The sequence below is a fragment of the Homo sapiens genome, chromosome 5 (assembly GCF_000001405.40).
Source record: "Homo sapiens chromosome 5, GRCh38.p14 Primary Assembly".
Lineage (NCBI taxonomy): Eukaryota > Metazoa > Chordata > Mammalia > Primates > Hominidae > Homo > Homo sapiens.
In genome coordinates this window covers 152,429,818-152,447,323 of record NC_000005.10, presented here as the reverse complement: position 1 = coordinate 152,447,323, position 17,506 = coordinate 152,429,818, and the positions used below count along the sequence as shown (strand labels likewise).

General features: G+C 37.7%; 1 annotated feature.

Moving 5' to 3' along the window:
* Nucleotides 900-1,069: an enhancer, noted in NCBI's record as "experimental_82661 CRE fragment used in MPRA reporter constructs". NCBI's record gives its function as "activates a minimal promoter by MPRAs in K562 erythroleukemia cells, with activity observed for both the introgressed and non-introgressed 5:151825901 variant alleles {active_cell/tissue: K562}" and the evidence as "EXISTENCE:reporter gene assay evidence [ECO:0000049][PMID:34662402]".

The following is a 17,506-nucleotide window of genomic DNA, read 5'->3' as shown; positions in this document are numbered from 1 at the left end:
TAAAGGAAAGGTAAGCTGGGATCTTCTTTAAGAGCTTCGTGAAAAGGCTGGGACGTGAACTGGACCATGAAAGAGAGAGATCAGGAAAAGAGTTTCCATATAAGAAAGAGGGGCAAACAGTTCTAGAATAAAAACAGAATTTTCTTGACTTTTTAATATTTGACATTCTGACTGGCATGAGATGGTATCTCATTGTGGTTTTGATTTGCATTTCTCTAATGATCAGTGATTTTGAACTTTTTTTCATATGTTTGTTGGCCACATAAATGTCTTCTTTTGAGAAGTGTCTGTTCATGTCTTTTCCCCACTTTTTAATGGGGTTGTTGTTTTTATAAATTTGTTTTAAGTTCCTTGTAGATTATGCATATAGACCTTTGTCAGATGGATAGATTGCAAAAATTTTCTCCCATTCAGTAGGTTGTCTGTTCACTCTGGTGATTGTTTCTTTTGCTGTGCAGAAAGAAGCTCTTTAGTTTAATTAGATTCCATTTGTCCATTTTTGCTTACAGTGTGGCAATTCCTCAAAGACCTAGAAACAGAAATATCATTTGACCCAGCAATCCCATTAGTGGGTATATACCCAAAGGAATAAAAATCATTCTATTTTAAAGATACATGCACACCTATGTTCATTGCAGCCCTATTCACAATAGCAAAGATGTGGAATCAATCCAAATGCCCATCAACGATAGACTGGAAATGTGGTATATATACACCATGGAATACTGTGCAGCCATAAAAAGGAATGAGATCGTGTCCTTTGCAGGGACATGGATGGATTTGAAAGCCATTATCCTCAGCAAACTAGTGCAGGAACAGAAAACCAAATTCCACATATTCTTACTTGTAAGTGGGAGCTGAACAATGAGAATACATGGACATACACTGGGGCCTGTCAGGGGGTGAGGTGTAAGGAGGGAAAGAATTAGGAAAAATAGCTAATGCATGTTGGGCTTAATACCTAGGTGATGGGTTGATAGCACGGCAAACCACCAGGGCACACATTTACCTATGTAAGAAACCTGCACATCCTGCACATGTATCCTGGAACTTAAAAAGAAATTATTTAATTTAATTTAATTTAAAAAGTTTCAAACCACATGTAATTCTATCAGGGTGTACATCTTTCTCACAGACAGCAATTTTACAATGGGCTCATCTTTTTCACTATTTTGCCCTGAGGACCCTCTAAATGCTCCAAAGACACAAATACCTGATAGAATATGGCAACCTCTGGTTCTAACTCCACCTGTGTGCATGCATCCTCCCAAAAAGGTGGACTTGTCAGGTTCAGGTCAGCCTACACATGGGGCACACACTGCTCCTCCCTGTTCCCAACTGCATGACAGGCATGGCTAATGGATCCCAGACTTCTCTTCCAATTAGCCCAGATACCCAAATAACAAGCTTTTGAATACGTGCTCTTCTTGATTTGGGTTATTACAGATTTCCTAAATATTTAATGCTGAAATCAGGTTATGGAATATCCAACACATTAAAAAGATCTTAATTGTTGATTCATGCATGCAATTAGTTTTAGGTATCTCATATGTGCTCTACAAAACACCTGTTCAGAAACACCGATTTAGTTCAACCTCCTCCCTTTTTTACTGATGAGAAAGCTGAGGGACAAAAGGTCATGATTTGATTAGAATAAAATATGTAGAAAAGCAGAACCAGCATGAAAATGCAGGTCCCCTTATAACTACTCTTCTTTTACAGTATACCTGCGGATCTCCTGAAAGTGTCTTACAAAGCAGCATGGGGGTCTGTTAAGACCCTGGTGTGGAACACACTGAAGAAAGAGTTAATAATGTAGCCTGTAGGTAGAGCAGTTGGAAAATTGGAATCTCAATCTAGATAATGCTTTACAACAAATATGTTTGAATTTGTTTATAAGCATAGTATAGTCTATCTTTCCAGACTACTCCTCAGAAACTGCAGTATCATTCTGCATCCTATTTTTTCAGGTATGCAGTCTAAATTGAAAACAAATTCCAAAGGAACTCTAAGGGGAAGACTGCAGTAATTTCAGCCTAGATGAGTTGAAAAAAATCACCTCTGAGATAGACCATAAATCCCAGCTATTTTATAGCTTTCCCTGTTCTAGTGCTTGTTCAAAGAAAAATCTAATTTCTTTAGTGAAAAAAAAATTTTTTTAAGTATAGAATGAAAAAATAGACCTCAAAGTCAGAGCTCCTATCAGAACAACCCTACTCATGGGCAGTTAAACCCCACATAGATTTCCCTCGGGCTTTTAAATAGTCTGTCTGCCTGAGAGTACACCAGATTTTCATGTAGCACAAAACTCAAGCAAATTATGAAGCCATTTCTTCTTTAAGGATGAGATAGTGCTGGACAAGGGGGTGATGCCCCAGCCCATGTGCTTTGCTCATGTCATCATGTGAGGTGTTTCCCAGCTCAGCCAAGCCAGCAGAGTCTTTCTGGGGGCAAGGAAATGATTTGACCCAGCTTTTCCTCCCCAACTTTGAGGTACAAATAAATACAAGGAAGGTCATCCAACTAGACAGTAATTGAGAGACTATAGAAATCTAATCAAAAGATAATAAAGGTATACATTTCGTATTCACTCTCTGTGTGTAAACAAACTGAACATTTTAAACATTAGAGTGCAGGTCTTGCATTTATATGAAACACCGAGCTTAACTTCATTTTGCTTTTCTTCTAGCTGCAGAGATTTTTTGTTCAGTGACGTGTCTGAATCTCCCTGCCTGATTCCCCATCCAGATATTACACGCACTCCACAACATTATAGCATTTTCTTAAAAGGCTGGTGAGTCAAGCCTTAGCAGACTACAGAGTTTTCATTCAGGTGGCTGTTTGCCTTTGTCCGTGTGTCCTTAGGCTGTTTAGATGCCCCCCAGGACCCCTGCAGAGGTGGTTCTCTAGAGAGATTTTTTTAGCAAGGAAAGGCAAAGACCAGGGCAGTTTGAGTGGAAAAAATACATTTTCTGAAAATTGCATTTATATAATATCTTATAATATATGAAGCATGTTTCCAAATTATTTAGTGGTTCTTAAACTTAAATGCACATCAGAATCACTTGGTAAAATACCAACTCTGAGATCCCACTGCCAGAGATTCTGAGTCTAAAGGTCCAGAGGAGGACCCAGGAATCTGCAGTTCTGTTGCATACCTGCAGGAGAGTCTGATGAAGATGGTCTACAAACCAAGCTTTGAAAAACACTGATTTACAACAAATCAGCCTGAAAATGGCTATGTCAGCTAATCATCACTTTTCAGATAATTTTAGAGATTTCAGAAATGAAGAAACTAATACTCAGAGGGATTTAAATATTTGCCCAATATTTTACATGTCATAGGAGAGCTAGGTCACAAAACCAAACGTTCGATGCCAAATTCAAAGCACATTACAAAGTCTGAGTTAAGTGTGCATGAATTAAAACATGACCATGAAAAAACATTGCTCTGTTACAGAAACTCTGTATATGCACAGGCCTGACAGAAGGAAAAAGACAAACCATTTATGGAAAAGAAGGATAAAAAGGAGATTTTTCCTTATCACCAAGATGCCAGGTGTTCCCTCCCCAGACTTTCCCTAAGGGGTCACACAATCTCTGCTCCCTGACCCCTTGATTATGACCTGGCTAGTCCAGAAATACTAGATATCTTCACTGCTATCAGAATATAAACCATTTCTAGATAAAAGGCAATGATATGTATTTCATTTTTAACCTCATACCTTCCCTTTCTATAGTTTTCTTCTGAAACCACTCACTCCTCTCCTGTTTCACTGTAAGATTCCAATTGTAAACAAGAGGGAAAAAGTATTAAGTAGTCCCTCAAGTCATCTGTAAATTGGTGTCCGGCTCAAAATGTTGCTATTAAATCTAATCTCTATCACTAATTTAATACATGATTTTTGGCAAGTTGTTTGACCACCCTAAGCTCTGCAAAATAAAGTGGTCAGAATGGATTCCCTCTAAGGACCCTATCAATGCTGAAATTCTAATATTCAGATGTTGAAGTGGGCAATAAATATGTAGAAGGTTCTATTTTGGGCATGGCAGATAATCATGAGACAGGGACCCTAAGCAAGGCGCTTACCAGTTAACCAGGTAAGATCCAAAAGGTACTAACTTAACCAGACTACAGGAAGACGTTTTAAGGTGGCAAAGGAATTACTGAGAAAAAAGAAAATATGAAACTGCAACTGTCCAACAGGTTAATTTTGCCCACTGCCCAGTTAGAGCCAATTTATCAAGCCAGAGGAACTGCAATAGAGAAAGAGTTTCATACACACAGAGCTGGCTAAATGGAAAACTTGAGTTTTATTATTACTCAAATCAGCCTCACTAAAAATTCAAAGGCTAGTGTTTTTAAAAGATAGCCTGGCAAACAAGGGGCTAGGAAATGGGGAAGGCTGATTGATTGGGTCAGGATGAAATCACAGGGAGTCAAAGCTGTCCTCTTGTGCTGAGTCAGTTCCTGAGTGGAGGCCACAAGACCAGATGAGTCCATTTACTGGTCTTGATGGTACCAGTGAATCCATCAGAATGCAGGGTCTGAAAAATACCTCAAACACCAATCTTAGGTTTTACAATCATAATGTTATCTATAAGAGCAATTGGGGAGGTTGGGAATCTTGTGACCTCTTGACTGCATGACTCCTGAGCCATAATTTTAGATCTTGTGGCTAGTTTGTTAGTTTTTCAAAGGCAGTCTGGTCCCCAAGCAAGGACGGTGTTTGTTTCAAAGAGGAATTGTTATCATCTTTGTTTCAAAGTTAAGCTATAAACTAAATTACTCCCGAATTTAGCTTGGTCTATGCCCAGGAATGAACAAGGGTAGTTTGGAGGTTAAAGGCAAGATAGAGTCAGTTACGTCAGATCTCATTCATTGTCATAATTTTTCACTGTTAAAATTTTTGAAGATGATGCTAATATCTGAAATTCATCAGCTGAATTTCTATTTCTTCTATAAATGTTTTTCCCTGCACAACAAAAACAGTGGAAGAAGTGCTTATCTGTAATTTCGTATGCATCTTGGTGGACTTGTCATTGGTATTCTAGGGATGCCTGCTATTAAGTTTCATCTATTGTGTGCTATACATGTAAAAACTGTCTCTTCGAACTATTGAAAATTTAAGGTTCAGTATAATATCAATTTTAAATTTTTAATGATGTTCATGAAATTTTAGATAGCAGCAAGTCCTTCATTTCATCAATAAACAGTGTTACAGAAAACTTCAAGTTTATAAAAATACAGTGAAATTTATACAAAGCTCTAAATCTGCATTTGCATTTCCTCTGCCCTTTTAACTAAACTAAAACTTGTGAATTTTAAATTATTAAGGGGGTTGCTGTGTGAAGTCGGTAGATATTAGATCAGGTTGGTGAAAAGAGTTCAGTTCTGTAATATCTGAATTTGTCTTTTAAAATGAGTACATATACAGGCAATAAACATATATGCTCAGATAAATATACTTGTTTAGAAAAACTTCAAGACATTCAAAAACTAGGAAGAAGTACGTTCAATAGTAGTTGTATAAATTTGGTGGTTATGTTTTTTTATTTTTTCTTTTGTGTAGAGATAATAACTATAGCTTTATTATGGCATAATTCATTTTGAGCTCCACTATGACATTTCAAAGACTGCCCAGTTTGGAAGTCTGTCATGATTTTTACTATTTCACTCCAATTCAATAATTGTTGATAGTATTACTTGCCTAGTCTATCCACATTCATATTATCCAAATATATAGGTGGGACTTTTGAAACAATTGCTTTGGTTCCCTTGGTTTAACTGAGGTTCATGAATATTCAAACCTTTGCTGGGGGAAAGAAATGAAAGTTAATGAGCATGCTTGCTATTAGAGAGGGATTTTTAATTTAACTTGTAGTTATAGTTTACTTACTGTTTTTAGAATTACTTTTACATTTTCCCGACTAGATGGCCTAGAGTCCAACATTACCTTTTGAGATGACATTATTGTCTCCATCATAATTCAGTGATAGCTTTAAAAAAAGATTAGTTTTGCTTAAGAAGTTACGTTAGAACTCATCAACCCTATATGAATTAACTCATCAGCCCTATATGAAACATAAGTTGTGTTATAACTGATCAGCCCTATATGAAACATAAATAGTTTCTACCTGCTTTTAAAAGAGAGAAGCTGGCCGGGCGCAGTGGCTCACGCCTGTAATCCCAGCACTTTGGGAGGCCGAGGCGGGGGGATCACGAGGTCAGGAGATCGAGACCGTCCTGGCTAACACGGTGAAACCCCGTCTCTACTAAAAATACAAAAAAAAAAAAAATTAGCCGGGCGTGGTGGTGGGCGCCTGTCATCCCAGCCAGTCGGGAGGCTGAGGCCAGGGAATGGCGTAAACCTGGGAGGCGGAGCTTGCAGTGAGCCGAGATCGCGCCATGTACTCCAGCCTGGGTGACAAAGCGAGACTCCATCTCAAAAAAAAAAAAAAGAGAGAGGCTTTAATTTGGTTCTAATAAATAAGGTATGGTAGTGATTATAGGAATCCAGGATGTTGAAGAAATGGCATAGTGTCTATATTTTGGAAACAGAAAGGAAAATTCGCTTAAGATAGTATGAAGTAATTAAATTCCTATGTCAGTTGGCAAATCTTTTAAAACTTTGTATTCACCAAGCCCACAAATAGATTGTGGCTGCCAGGATTCCAATTTTAATTGGAGAGCTAAGTAAGTAAAGTTTTATAAGTATTAGGTTTCTTAATGATCATATTTTGCAGTTTTAGTAAAAGGGAAATGTTGTTATACATTTATTAAATATACTTCCCCCATGAGGTGAAAAGGTTAATTTTGCTGAATGTTGTAAGTTGAAGCTACTTCATGGATGTCATACCCATTAAGTGCGTTTGGATGAGATAGAAGAAATTGTTTTTTAAAAAGTTTAAGTACCAAAGGTAGTCTAGTCTAGAACAATAATAAATTAATGTGTGTTGGCTTTTCTAATTTGTACTGTAACATCCTTATACTTTCTATTTTATCTGTTTCTGAAGTAAAAAACTTAGATATTTTCCACACCTTTTTTTTTTTCTGAAGCAGAGTTCAGGTTAGTTAATATTTTACTGCATCTGATAATGTATTATATGTTTCAAGCCTAGTGACTTTTCATTTTGATATTCTTGTGATTTCATATGCTGTATTCTTCAAGCAATAACATTATGATGTGTTTTATAAAAACAAAATTTTGCAAAATCAGTTTCAAACTGAGAGACAGGGCATTTCTATCATCTCTTGCTTGCTATTATAACAAAAGCTTTTGGTGTGATGGACACCAAGAGGACACTGAACTGTGATGTAACTGACATTGATGAACAATTCTGCTTTCAGAGCCAAGAGACGTGTGTGGAAGACTCAGGAACAAAACTCTATTATCTTGCAGATATTTTTCACGTCAGAATCTCATTTCCCTTTATTAGATTCCATGCCTGATTCCTTCTTTTACGTATTTATTCCTTTTAGTTTGTTAATCTGACCACTTAGAGCAGGTACAAGCCTGGGTTTAGGGCTCATTTGAGCAAGAGAATGAATAAGTAGTGCATCATGCTCACAACGCTTCTCTTATCTGGTAAGATCCCCTAAGAAAAGTGGGGCAAACTAATTTGAGCTGTCACAAACCTGTATTAACTACATAAAGACACCTTTTACTGAACACCTTCTTGAGTGCACTACTTGCATTATCCAGAGGCATCTACAGCCACGTTGCTGGGAGCGTGGAATGCAGACCCAGACACTGTGGTCTCTCTCCTGGATCTGTACTTACCAGCTGGGAGACTTTGAGCTTGTTTATTAACTTTTATGTGCTTCCTTTCCCTCATTTGTGAAATAGGGATAATACTAGTATCTATCTCATAGATATGATTGAATGGGTTAATATATAGGAAGTCCTTAGAACGGTTCTTGGCTCATAATAAGTGTCACATAATGTTAGATGATGATGGTGGTGGTAGTGGTGGTGATGGTATTAGTACTACTACTTCTCATTTCAACCTCTTTAAAAAACAACTATGAAGCAGGAATTGATATTTCTCAGAAAACTAAAAATTGGAGAGTTTAGTTTGGTCCAAGCTTGCGCAGCTAGTAAATAGGTTGGATATTATAGAACTCAAGCCACTCTGACCCCAAATCTTTGGCCTACACTGTGGCCAAAGATTTTATTATCCCAAATGCTAAGACTTGTGGAACCAGAACTGCAAAGGGAATGAGAAAAGATGAATGAATGCTGAAAAGATAAATCAATGAATGGCTCCCAATTCACTGTGATGCTATAATTGATGTAGTCCATCTGTGCAACTGTCAGTCCAACCACCCAGCCCCAGTTTTTTAACTCTTAGAAATGAAGATGGGTGCAGTTCATAAACTAAATCATGGCAATAAACACATGTCTAAACTACCATTCTGAATCAATTTACACTTAGAAAAATACCATAGATTGAAATCATACGTCAATGTTTTCTTATTGTCAATTGCTATAAGAAAAAAAAAAAACTTGGGGAAAAAAAAGAATGAAAAACTCCACTAGACTATAAGTTCCACGAGCTGAGGGACTAAATCTATCTTGTTCACAAGTACCATGGCTGATACCCAGGAGATGCTCCATAGAAGTTTGTAAATAAAATGCATAAGCACAGTGACTAGTATACATGTGTGAACTAGACAGCAAGTCCCTGCCCCTCATAGAATGTATACCTTGTGAGAAACAATAATTATCTCTGTATAATTGCTGGTGAACAAAGGGCTGCAAAAGAGAATTCAGGGTGCTGTGGATGCATAAAACAAGGGTGTTGTCTGGGTCATGGGCAGGTTTCTGAAGGAAAGTGATGCTGAGTTAAAATCTGATAAATAAGTCAGATTTTAAGTAAAGATGGCAGCCAGACAGAAAGGCAGAGTATGTGATTTGTCATCTCTGCCTCCAAAAATATATAAAACTATAGTATAGAAAAACAACCACGCTTGTTTTTTGCCAATCAACAGGAAAGAACAAAAGGAAAAGTCAAGCTTAAGATTAAAAAAAGGAGCTTTAAGACGCAGAGCTGACCACTGTCAAAGAGATCACCTAAAAGATGTAGTGATTTCACGTTCAGGGAGGCGTGACAGCAGAGACAAAATGAGAAAAAAAGTTCATGTTGTTAAAAAGAGGATGCCGTCACCAGACAAGCATTAAAGGCTACACTCTCCAAATTCTTTTCCAGCCCTGAGCCTCTATAATGCTAATTGGAACAGGTCTGCCATGTTTCTCAGCAGCAACCCCAGCATGAGGTACAAAGTCAAACAAGGAAAAGAGAATTTATCTCCAGAACTAGTCCTCCTCAGCAAAAGGAAGTTGGTTTTCAGGTGCTTTACTCTCTCTTTTTAATTGGCTCCACAAACCACATGCTTTGTACTGTTCTGGTTCCTCCTCTTATGGGGGAAATAATAACAGAAACATATATATATATATATATGTATATGTATATACGTTCATGACTCTATGATATTTCCAGGCATATTTATTAGTAACAAAATGTCAGAATCATTTAGAGAATAATTCTAGAATCAGAAACCTGGATCAAATCACAGTCCCACCAGTTACAATTTGTGTAATCTTGGCCATCTCTCTGAGACTCACTTTTCCATGTGTAAATTGGGAATAATTATTATTATACATATGGTATGTGTACATACTTTATATGTTATTTGTGAGGAATAAGTGAGATGATGGCATAAAGTTATTCATATCTTTCCTAGCATAGTATATTCCTCAGTCCTAGCCATTATTTTATAGTTAATAATAGAACCTTACTGAAAGGATAATGCTTTGCTTGAAGAAATGTCCTTATAATGGTGATATTTCAGGCACTATGGCACTGAAATAGGAAAAGTGGGAATATTCTGGGAGTCAGAAAATCAATGGCTATTGAGTTGTAAAGCAAAACTCAGTATTGCAATGATTTCTAGTCCAAAATTTGTTATTAACCCATTGATAGTCTGATATTAAGGCACAGAGAGGTTAAATAATTTGCCCAAAGATGCTTAGTTAGAAAGTGATGGGCCAGGTGCGGTGGCTCACGCCTATAATCCCAGCACTTTCAGAGGCCAAGGTGGGCGGATCATAAGTTCAGGAGATCGAGACCATCCTGGCTAACATGGTGAAACCCCGTCTCTACTAAAAATACAAAAAAATTAGCCGGCTGTGGTGGTGGGTGCCTGTGGTCCCAGCTACTCGGGAGGCAGAGGCAAGAGAATGGCATGAACCCAGGGGGGTGGAGCTTGCAGTGAGCCGAGATCACACCACTGCACTCCAGCCTGGGCAACAGAGCGAGACTCCATCTCAAAAAAAAAAAAAAAAGAAAAAGAAAGTGTGATAGGACTCTAATTTGAACATAGGCAATTCTGACACCAGAGCCCATGCACCTGTGCTATTTCTATTAGTTCCAGCCATGCCAGCTATAAAACAAACCCACTGGCTTCAAAAAGAGCCATATAGTATATCGGCCATGCATAGAGTCAGATTGCCTGGAGTCAAATTCTAATTCTTCCATTTACTAGTTGTCTGAGCACCCTTCTGCAGTTTATTCAGCCTCAAGTATTGATACCCTCATATGTAAAATAAGAGAGAAAATTGTACTTATCTGTTTCACTTTCATGAGAATAAAATGACATTCTGAGGTGAATGCCTTGCTTATGATAGGTGATAACATCTAAAACCTAGTAAACTTTCAGAGCTGTAAGACCATAAAACCATCTCCAGTTCCTAGGTTTTTGTTGAGATAAAGCTAGGGGCTCAAGAAGTAAAGAGCCTTGCTAAGTCATCTAGATCCTTAGAAGCTGCTGTTCTAACTCCCTGTCCAGTGCTTCTCAGTGGTAGGAAATGACTCTAAGTCATTTTGGGATCTCTCCAGTGCCTGATTCTCCAGGGGCTCCTGGAAACACAGGAGAGAGAATGAAGGAGGGGATGAATGTAGGGAGTAAATGAGGGAGAATTGAAAACAGGGAGAAAGGCTGGTATACCGCTTAGAGAATTCAATGGTCTACTTTGTACAACTCCAATGGTATTGAAGTTCCAGATCTTATTCTAACCTCAGGATTAATAATTATCTCTGATAGCACTCACCTCTGGGCTGTAGTCAGCGTCCTTTCTATTCTTATCTATTGTCTGCTACTAACCAACCTCCCAGCAGAAGCTTGGAAATAGGGAGATTCTGATGCAGGAGGCACTTGCTGGGATCTGGCAAACAGTGAAGTCTGTCATTGCAATTGATCTGCTGCAAAAAGCCCTCCACTCTTTTCCTGTCACTGACCATGCATGCCCTTTCAACACTGAACGGGCTCTGCACATAGATGCTGATGTGCCACTGGGCATTCTGAGATAACACTGCCAATCAGTCCACAGGCCAAAAAAAAACCTGCATGATGACAAAGGGTCCTTTCTGGCTCCGTGTTCATTAAGAGAAAAACCAATTTTCCATTATTCTTAAATGTCTTAAGTATTGAATGTTCTATATGATGGTTTTAAAAGTGACACCATGGCACTATGCGTAATATCTCTGAATATGGGCCCCTTTCATATTCTATTTTCTTTAAAGAGCCAACCAAGTTAATATGCTTTCAGAGAATGGGTAATATTGTTTTAGTTATTTTTTTCTCTATTCAAATTTCTACTGCATCTTGAGTTTTAAGATGAGAATGAGCTAATTTTAAAAAAGAATAAAGAAGATGAATTTCAAAAGTTGTACTTTCTGTGTGTTTTCCTCTGTCTGTTACCACAAGTCTCATGCTCTTCTTAGCCATGGAAGTCATTTACCCACTACCCGCTTAGGTCTCACAATATTAACTTCTACCCAGTACAGAACTATAAAATGGATCCCCTCAGTGGGGGACAACACTGATTTCAGAATTAAATTACCATTTTAGCATTCAGTTTGACGTTGCTTGAGTCTAGCTTTCCTATCTGCATAATCATGACCCAAATAAGCATGGCTCATTACCTTGAAAAGCAAGCTCTTTATAGGCTTGCTTTACCTACCCTGTGTTGATTGAATTTTGACTACCTCGATTTCTGTTCTGCCTTTTGTTCTGGGGTTCAAAAGTACATGTATTTTGGTCTCACCTGACTGGTTCTCTGAATTTCTGTCTCTTTTTGTCTATGATAATGTAATCCACACCTATCTAGTCACCCTCCAAGGTTCTAGGTCAGTGTTGCTTTCCAATTAGCATTATTGACCACATTTGGCTGGAGTGTTTTTTATATAGGTATCAAGCTACCTTGGGAAGCCAAAATAATGAAAACAGTTCATATATTTTGAGCATCTCCATATGCCAAGAAATGTTCAAAGCACTTCTTGAATTATCCCAATGACCCTCACAATCACTATATGAGACAGGTACAATTATTATGCTGAGGAAGCGATACTAAGAGAAGTTAAGTAGATGAACAAGTGATAGAGGTGAATTTAAGTCCAGGCAGTCTGACTTCAGAACGCATGCATTTAATCTTTCTGTTACTTTGTCTTTCAAAAAGTGGCAATGGACTAAGAATAAGCCCATTAAATCATTCAAGAATAATGGGAGAAGGTCTCAAATGATGGGAGACTATTTCAAATAATTACACTGAAAGTTATATTAAATTTTAAGTGCAAGAGGCCCAGCAACCCCCACTGGAAGATTATCTCATAACATCAAGGTGTTCAAAGGCTAAGTAGTCAAAAATGATAAATTGGTACAGCCTTTATGGAAAACAGTATGAGATTTCTCAAATAACTAAAAGTAGACCTACTATTCAATTCAGTAATTCCACTACTGGGTATACATCCAAAGGGAAAGGAATCAAAATATGGTTTTTAAAAAACCTATACTGATATGTTTATCACAGCACTACACACAAAGGTGAAGTCGTGGAATCAATGTCAGGCAATGGAAGACTGGATTAAAAGAAAAAAATACACACACACACACACCATGGAATACTACTCAGCACTAAAAAATAAAATAAAATAATGTTTTTTTGCTGCAACATGGATAGAACTGGAGGCCATTATCCTCAGTGAAATAATTCACAAACAGAAAGTCAAATATGTTCTCACTTATAAGTGGGAGCTAAATAATGAGTACATGGAAGTACAAAGTGGAATAATGGTCATTGGAGACCTCAAAAGGTGGGAGGGTTGGGGGTGAGGGTTGAAAAACTACCTATTGGATACAATGTTCACTGTTCAGGTGATGGGTACACTAAAAGCCCAGACTTCAGCACTACGCAATGTATGCATATAAGACACCTCACTTGTATCCCCTAAATATATAAAAATAATAATAAACACAATAATAATAAATGTACATAACTGTACAACCGTGGACTTGTTTATGTCTCTGACCAGATTGTGAAGCTTAAGAGAGAAGAAACTGGGACTGTCTTGATCACTGATGGATGCCTAACTCCTATTCTAAGGTCTGTTTCATAACAGGGACCCAGTGAATATATGTTTAATGGACAAGGGAAAGAAATGTTTTGGGGTAGTCCCTACAAGTGATATGGTTATAGACTCAGTGGAATAAAAGATTCAGTAATAAACAAGGCTAATAAGATGGGGTCAAAATATGGAGAGTCTCTTTTTTCTTAATAACTTCATTCAGGTATAATTGACATACAACAAGCTCTACATGTTTAAAATGTACGATTTGATAAGTTTTGACATGTGTATACACCTGTAAAACCATCACTATGATCAACACATAATGGCCATATCTATTCCCCTAAAAGCTTCCCCTTATTTTTTTGGTAATCTCCCTTTCCTGCCTTTTTCTACGCCTTTCCCATCCCATCTCCAGGCAACAACTGATCTACTTTCTGTCACTATAGTTTGCATTTTCTAAAATTACGTATAAAATGAGTCATACAATAAGTACTGTTTTTGTCTGGCTTCTTTCCTTCAGGACAATTATTTTGAGATGCGTCCACATTGGTGCATATATCAATAATTAATTTCCTTTTATTGCTGAGTAGTATTTACTATATGGATGTACCACATTTTGTTTATCCTTTCAACTGTTGCTGGACATTTGGGTTGTTTCCAGTTTTGAGCTATATAAACAAAGACACAAAGATTTGTATGTAAAGCATCGTATGGACAGCCACCTTATTTCTCTTGGGTAAGTGGCCAGGGGAAGCATGGTTGGGTCATGTGGTAGTGGTATGTTTAGCTTATGAAGAAACTAACAATCGCTTTTCAAAAGTGGTTTTACAATTTTGTATTCCTATAAACAATGTATGAGACCTCTGTTTGCTCTCCATCCTCCTAACACTTTGTGTATTCCTTGGTATTGCTATTGATAATCACTGTCAGAACTTTAGCCATTCTGGTAAGTGTGAAGTGGTGCCTCACTGTGGTTTTGATTTGCATTTCCTAATGAATATTGATGTTGAAAACCTCCTTATATGCTCATTCTCCATCTGTATACCTTACTTCATGAAGTGTCTGTTCTAACCTTTTGCCTATTTTTAAGTGTTTTTTGTTTGTTTGTTTGTTTGTTTTTTACTCTTGAATTTGGAGACTTTATAAATTCAGGACACAAATTTTTTATCTAGGTTCTTGCACAGTCATTAATAGTGACTAGCGCTTACTTCAGGCACATTGTCTCAATTCTTACAACAATCATGTGAGGAAGATCCTATAATTATGACAGTCTTACCAATGAGAAACCTGAGGTTTACAGAGATTAAGTAACTTGGTTAAGATTTTACAGCTAATAAGGGGTACAGCCAGAATTTGAACCCCAAAATCCATACTTTCTTTCTGAATTCCAAAGAGCTGGGAAAATCAATTCTCACTAAAGCAAGCTCTCCAAGAAAAAAAGGAAAAATAAAAGAAATATTTTTTACTGTTAGAGAACAAGCTGTCTTTGAAGAAGTTTTAACATGAGTCCCCATAACACATTTTGGAACAGAGAGTTCTACGGCAGAACAAAATAGACGGGTTAGGTTAATCATAGCTTGTCTGTACCTAGCATCCTTCTTTTGTCTGAGTGTACCTGCATGAACCAACTATGAAATGTGAAGGGTATAATCTAAAGAGGAAACAAATGCCAGAAATTATAGTGAGGTCATTTTCAAATTTGTTGTGAGGGAACAAGAACTGACACCTTAATGCTTCCTGGTAAAAGTGACATTAGGAAGAACTCATTCTACAGACTTTTGGAATTACTTTCACTTTTCACTCAGTGTGCCTTGGTATAGGTGTTCATATATTTTATTCACCTTGTTATACCAAATCTTTAATTTGACAACTATTTCATGCCCATTTTTCTGCTGACACTTTATAAAGACACAGAATAAATAACAGTAAATTTATGAAACACAATTTTCAGGAGTTATATTTTAAAATATTTAACTACCAATGTGGCATGGCCACTGATCAATAATGTCAAGCACCAGCCAATATGCCATGCTTGTATATATCAGAAAAATACCAGTCTGACAATAATTATTATCTTGTTATTATATTGTTTTTCCATTTACAACACATTTTTATATTAAGCATCTCATTTGAATCTCATAGCACTGACAGCTAGGCATGATTATCCCCACTTCACACATAAAAATGACCAGAAAGGTAAATTATTTTTGCCACTGCTTTCCATAGCTAGTTAATAATACAAATGGGAACTGAAATTAAGTCTTATGACTCATGATCCAATAATGTTCCACTATTCCCCACAGTCTCTGGCTCTAAGGAACAAACAGTCCTATTGAAATAATGTGTGCACACCTGTGAAACAAAGACAATACACTTGTTGAAACAAATATATGGTCAACCCATGAGCTTTAGATTCAGACAAGGTTTAAAAATTTAAAGATAAGAAAGTTTAAAAATTGATCTTCCAAAAATGTTGACAATTACTAAATATTCCCAGACTGAAGGAGGCTCCAGAGCTCCACTTGTTCTTAATCAAACGCATCACTGGCATCCTCTACCCAAGTTCCAACCTTAATGCTGCTTACACTAGTCCAAGCCTACAAAGCCTTTCTCCTTAAAGTACGATCCTCAAATAAGTATTATCAGCCTTACCTTGAAGCTTGTTAGAAATGTAGACTCTTAGCTCCCCACCCCACAACAAGATTGTGAATCTGAATTTGCACAAGATCCCAAGGGGATTTTCAAATACATTAACATTTGAGTAGTATTCTGGATCACCTATCGTGCCCATATAAGTTTGCATCTCCAATGTGATCTCACAGCCATTATTAAACATGCCCCTCCCAGCTCTTCTACTGGATGCTCTGGAACTTATACTCTGTACTGGGACAGCTCCTCCACCAGTTGTGTGTTCATTGTAAAGCTTGGTTTCTTCCTGTAAAAACTGCTTCCCTTGCTGGCCTTTCAAGTGACAGCTGTTATTCCTTTTACAACCCAGATTGCACACAGAGCCTGGAGGTAAGGCTAGGTGCTCTTCATGCTCATTACAATCATTAATAGTCAATTATTGCCTCCTTCCTCCTTCAAATATCCTACCTTTTTGGAAACATATGCCATCAAGCTCTACCACTATTCTCCTGCCTTGTGGCAGTCATCTGCCACCCTCATTGCTTTCCTCAGCCACTGAAGACCTAAGTCTCAAATTCACCATCTTATTCTTCACCCCTTCTTCACCACTACTCACCTCTTCACCCTCATCACCTCCGCCACTCTATATTCTATCAGCAACTTGACCACTTCCACACCAATGCTGTGGTCTCCATCCAAATCCTTGACTATCTCCCCTTCAGGCTTCTACTTCATTCCACCTCATTCACACACTACCATGGCCACCACTTGACCTTGCCATTACTAGTAACTGCATTGCCCCTTAAATCTTTTTTCAAACATCTGCTCTTATTTTTGCAGCTCTGTTAACTTTAGAATCTGCCTTGCTCTCCCCTGCAAATTCATCAGGACCTCCATCCCACTGGCCTCACCACTTTTTACTATCCATTCATAACCTGTTTTGTGTCCTCAGTTCCTTCCTTACTCTTCTTAGATTTCATGGGTAACCTGTATAATCACTCCTTTTATATACTCCCAAATTGCTTGCTCCTCTTTTCTCCTCTAGCCTAGTTTGGCAAAACCCCAACTTTAGTTCAACTTAACTGTCCATCTATTTTGCAACTACACTCAAGCAGCTGAATGAGGCTGGAGAAAAACTCACACAGGTCTAACCTGTCTCTCTTCAAATTTTTGACTGTCAAACTTGAGTGGGCCTTTAGCACTATCCAGCAATTTTACTACATTTCTGTAACAAATTCACTCTTCCATCCTGCAGTCACCAACACTCTCTCCCTCTCCTCATTCTCAGCTCTTGACTCACTTCTTATTTCATCAAGAAAATCAAAGTAACCAAAAGATAACCATTACATCTTTTCAATACCAAATCTCTCAAGCTGTCTGCTTCTTTACTCATAATCTTGGATTTTTCACCTAGGGAAAGCCAAACCTTCCATTTATTACAGGGTCTCACTGCCTCTCACCAACGCAA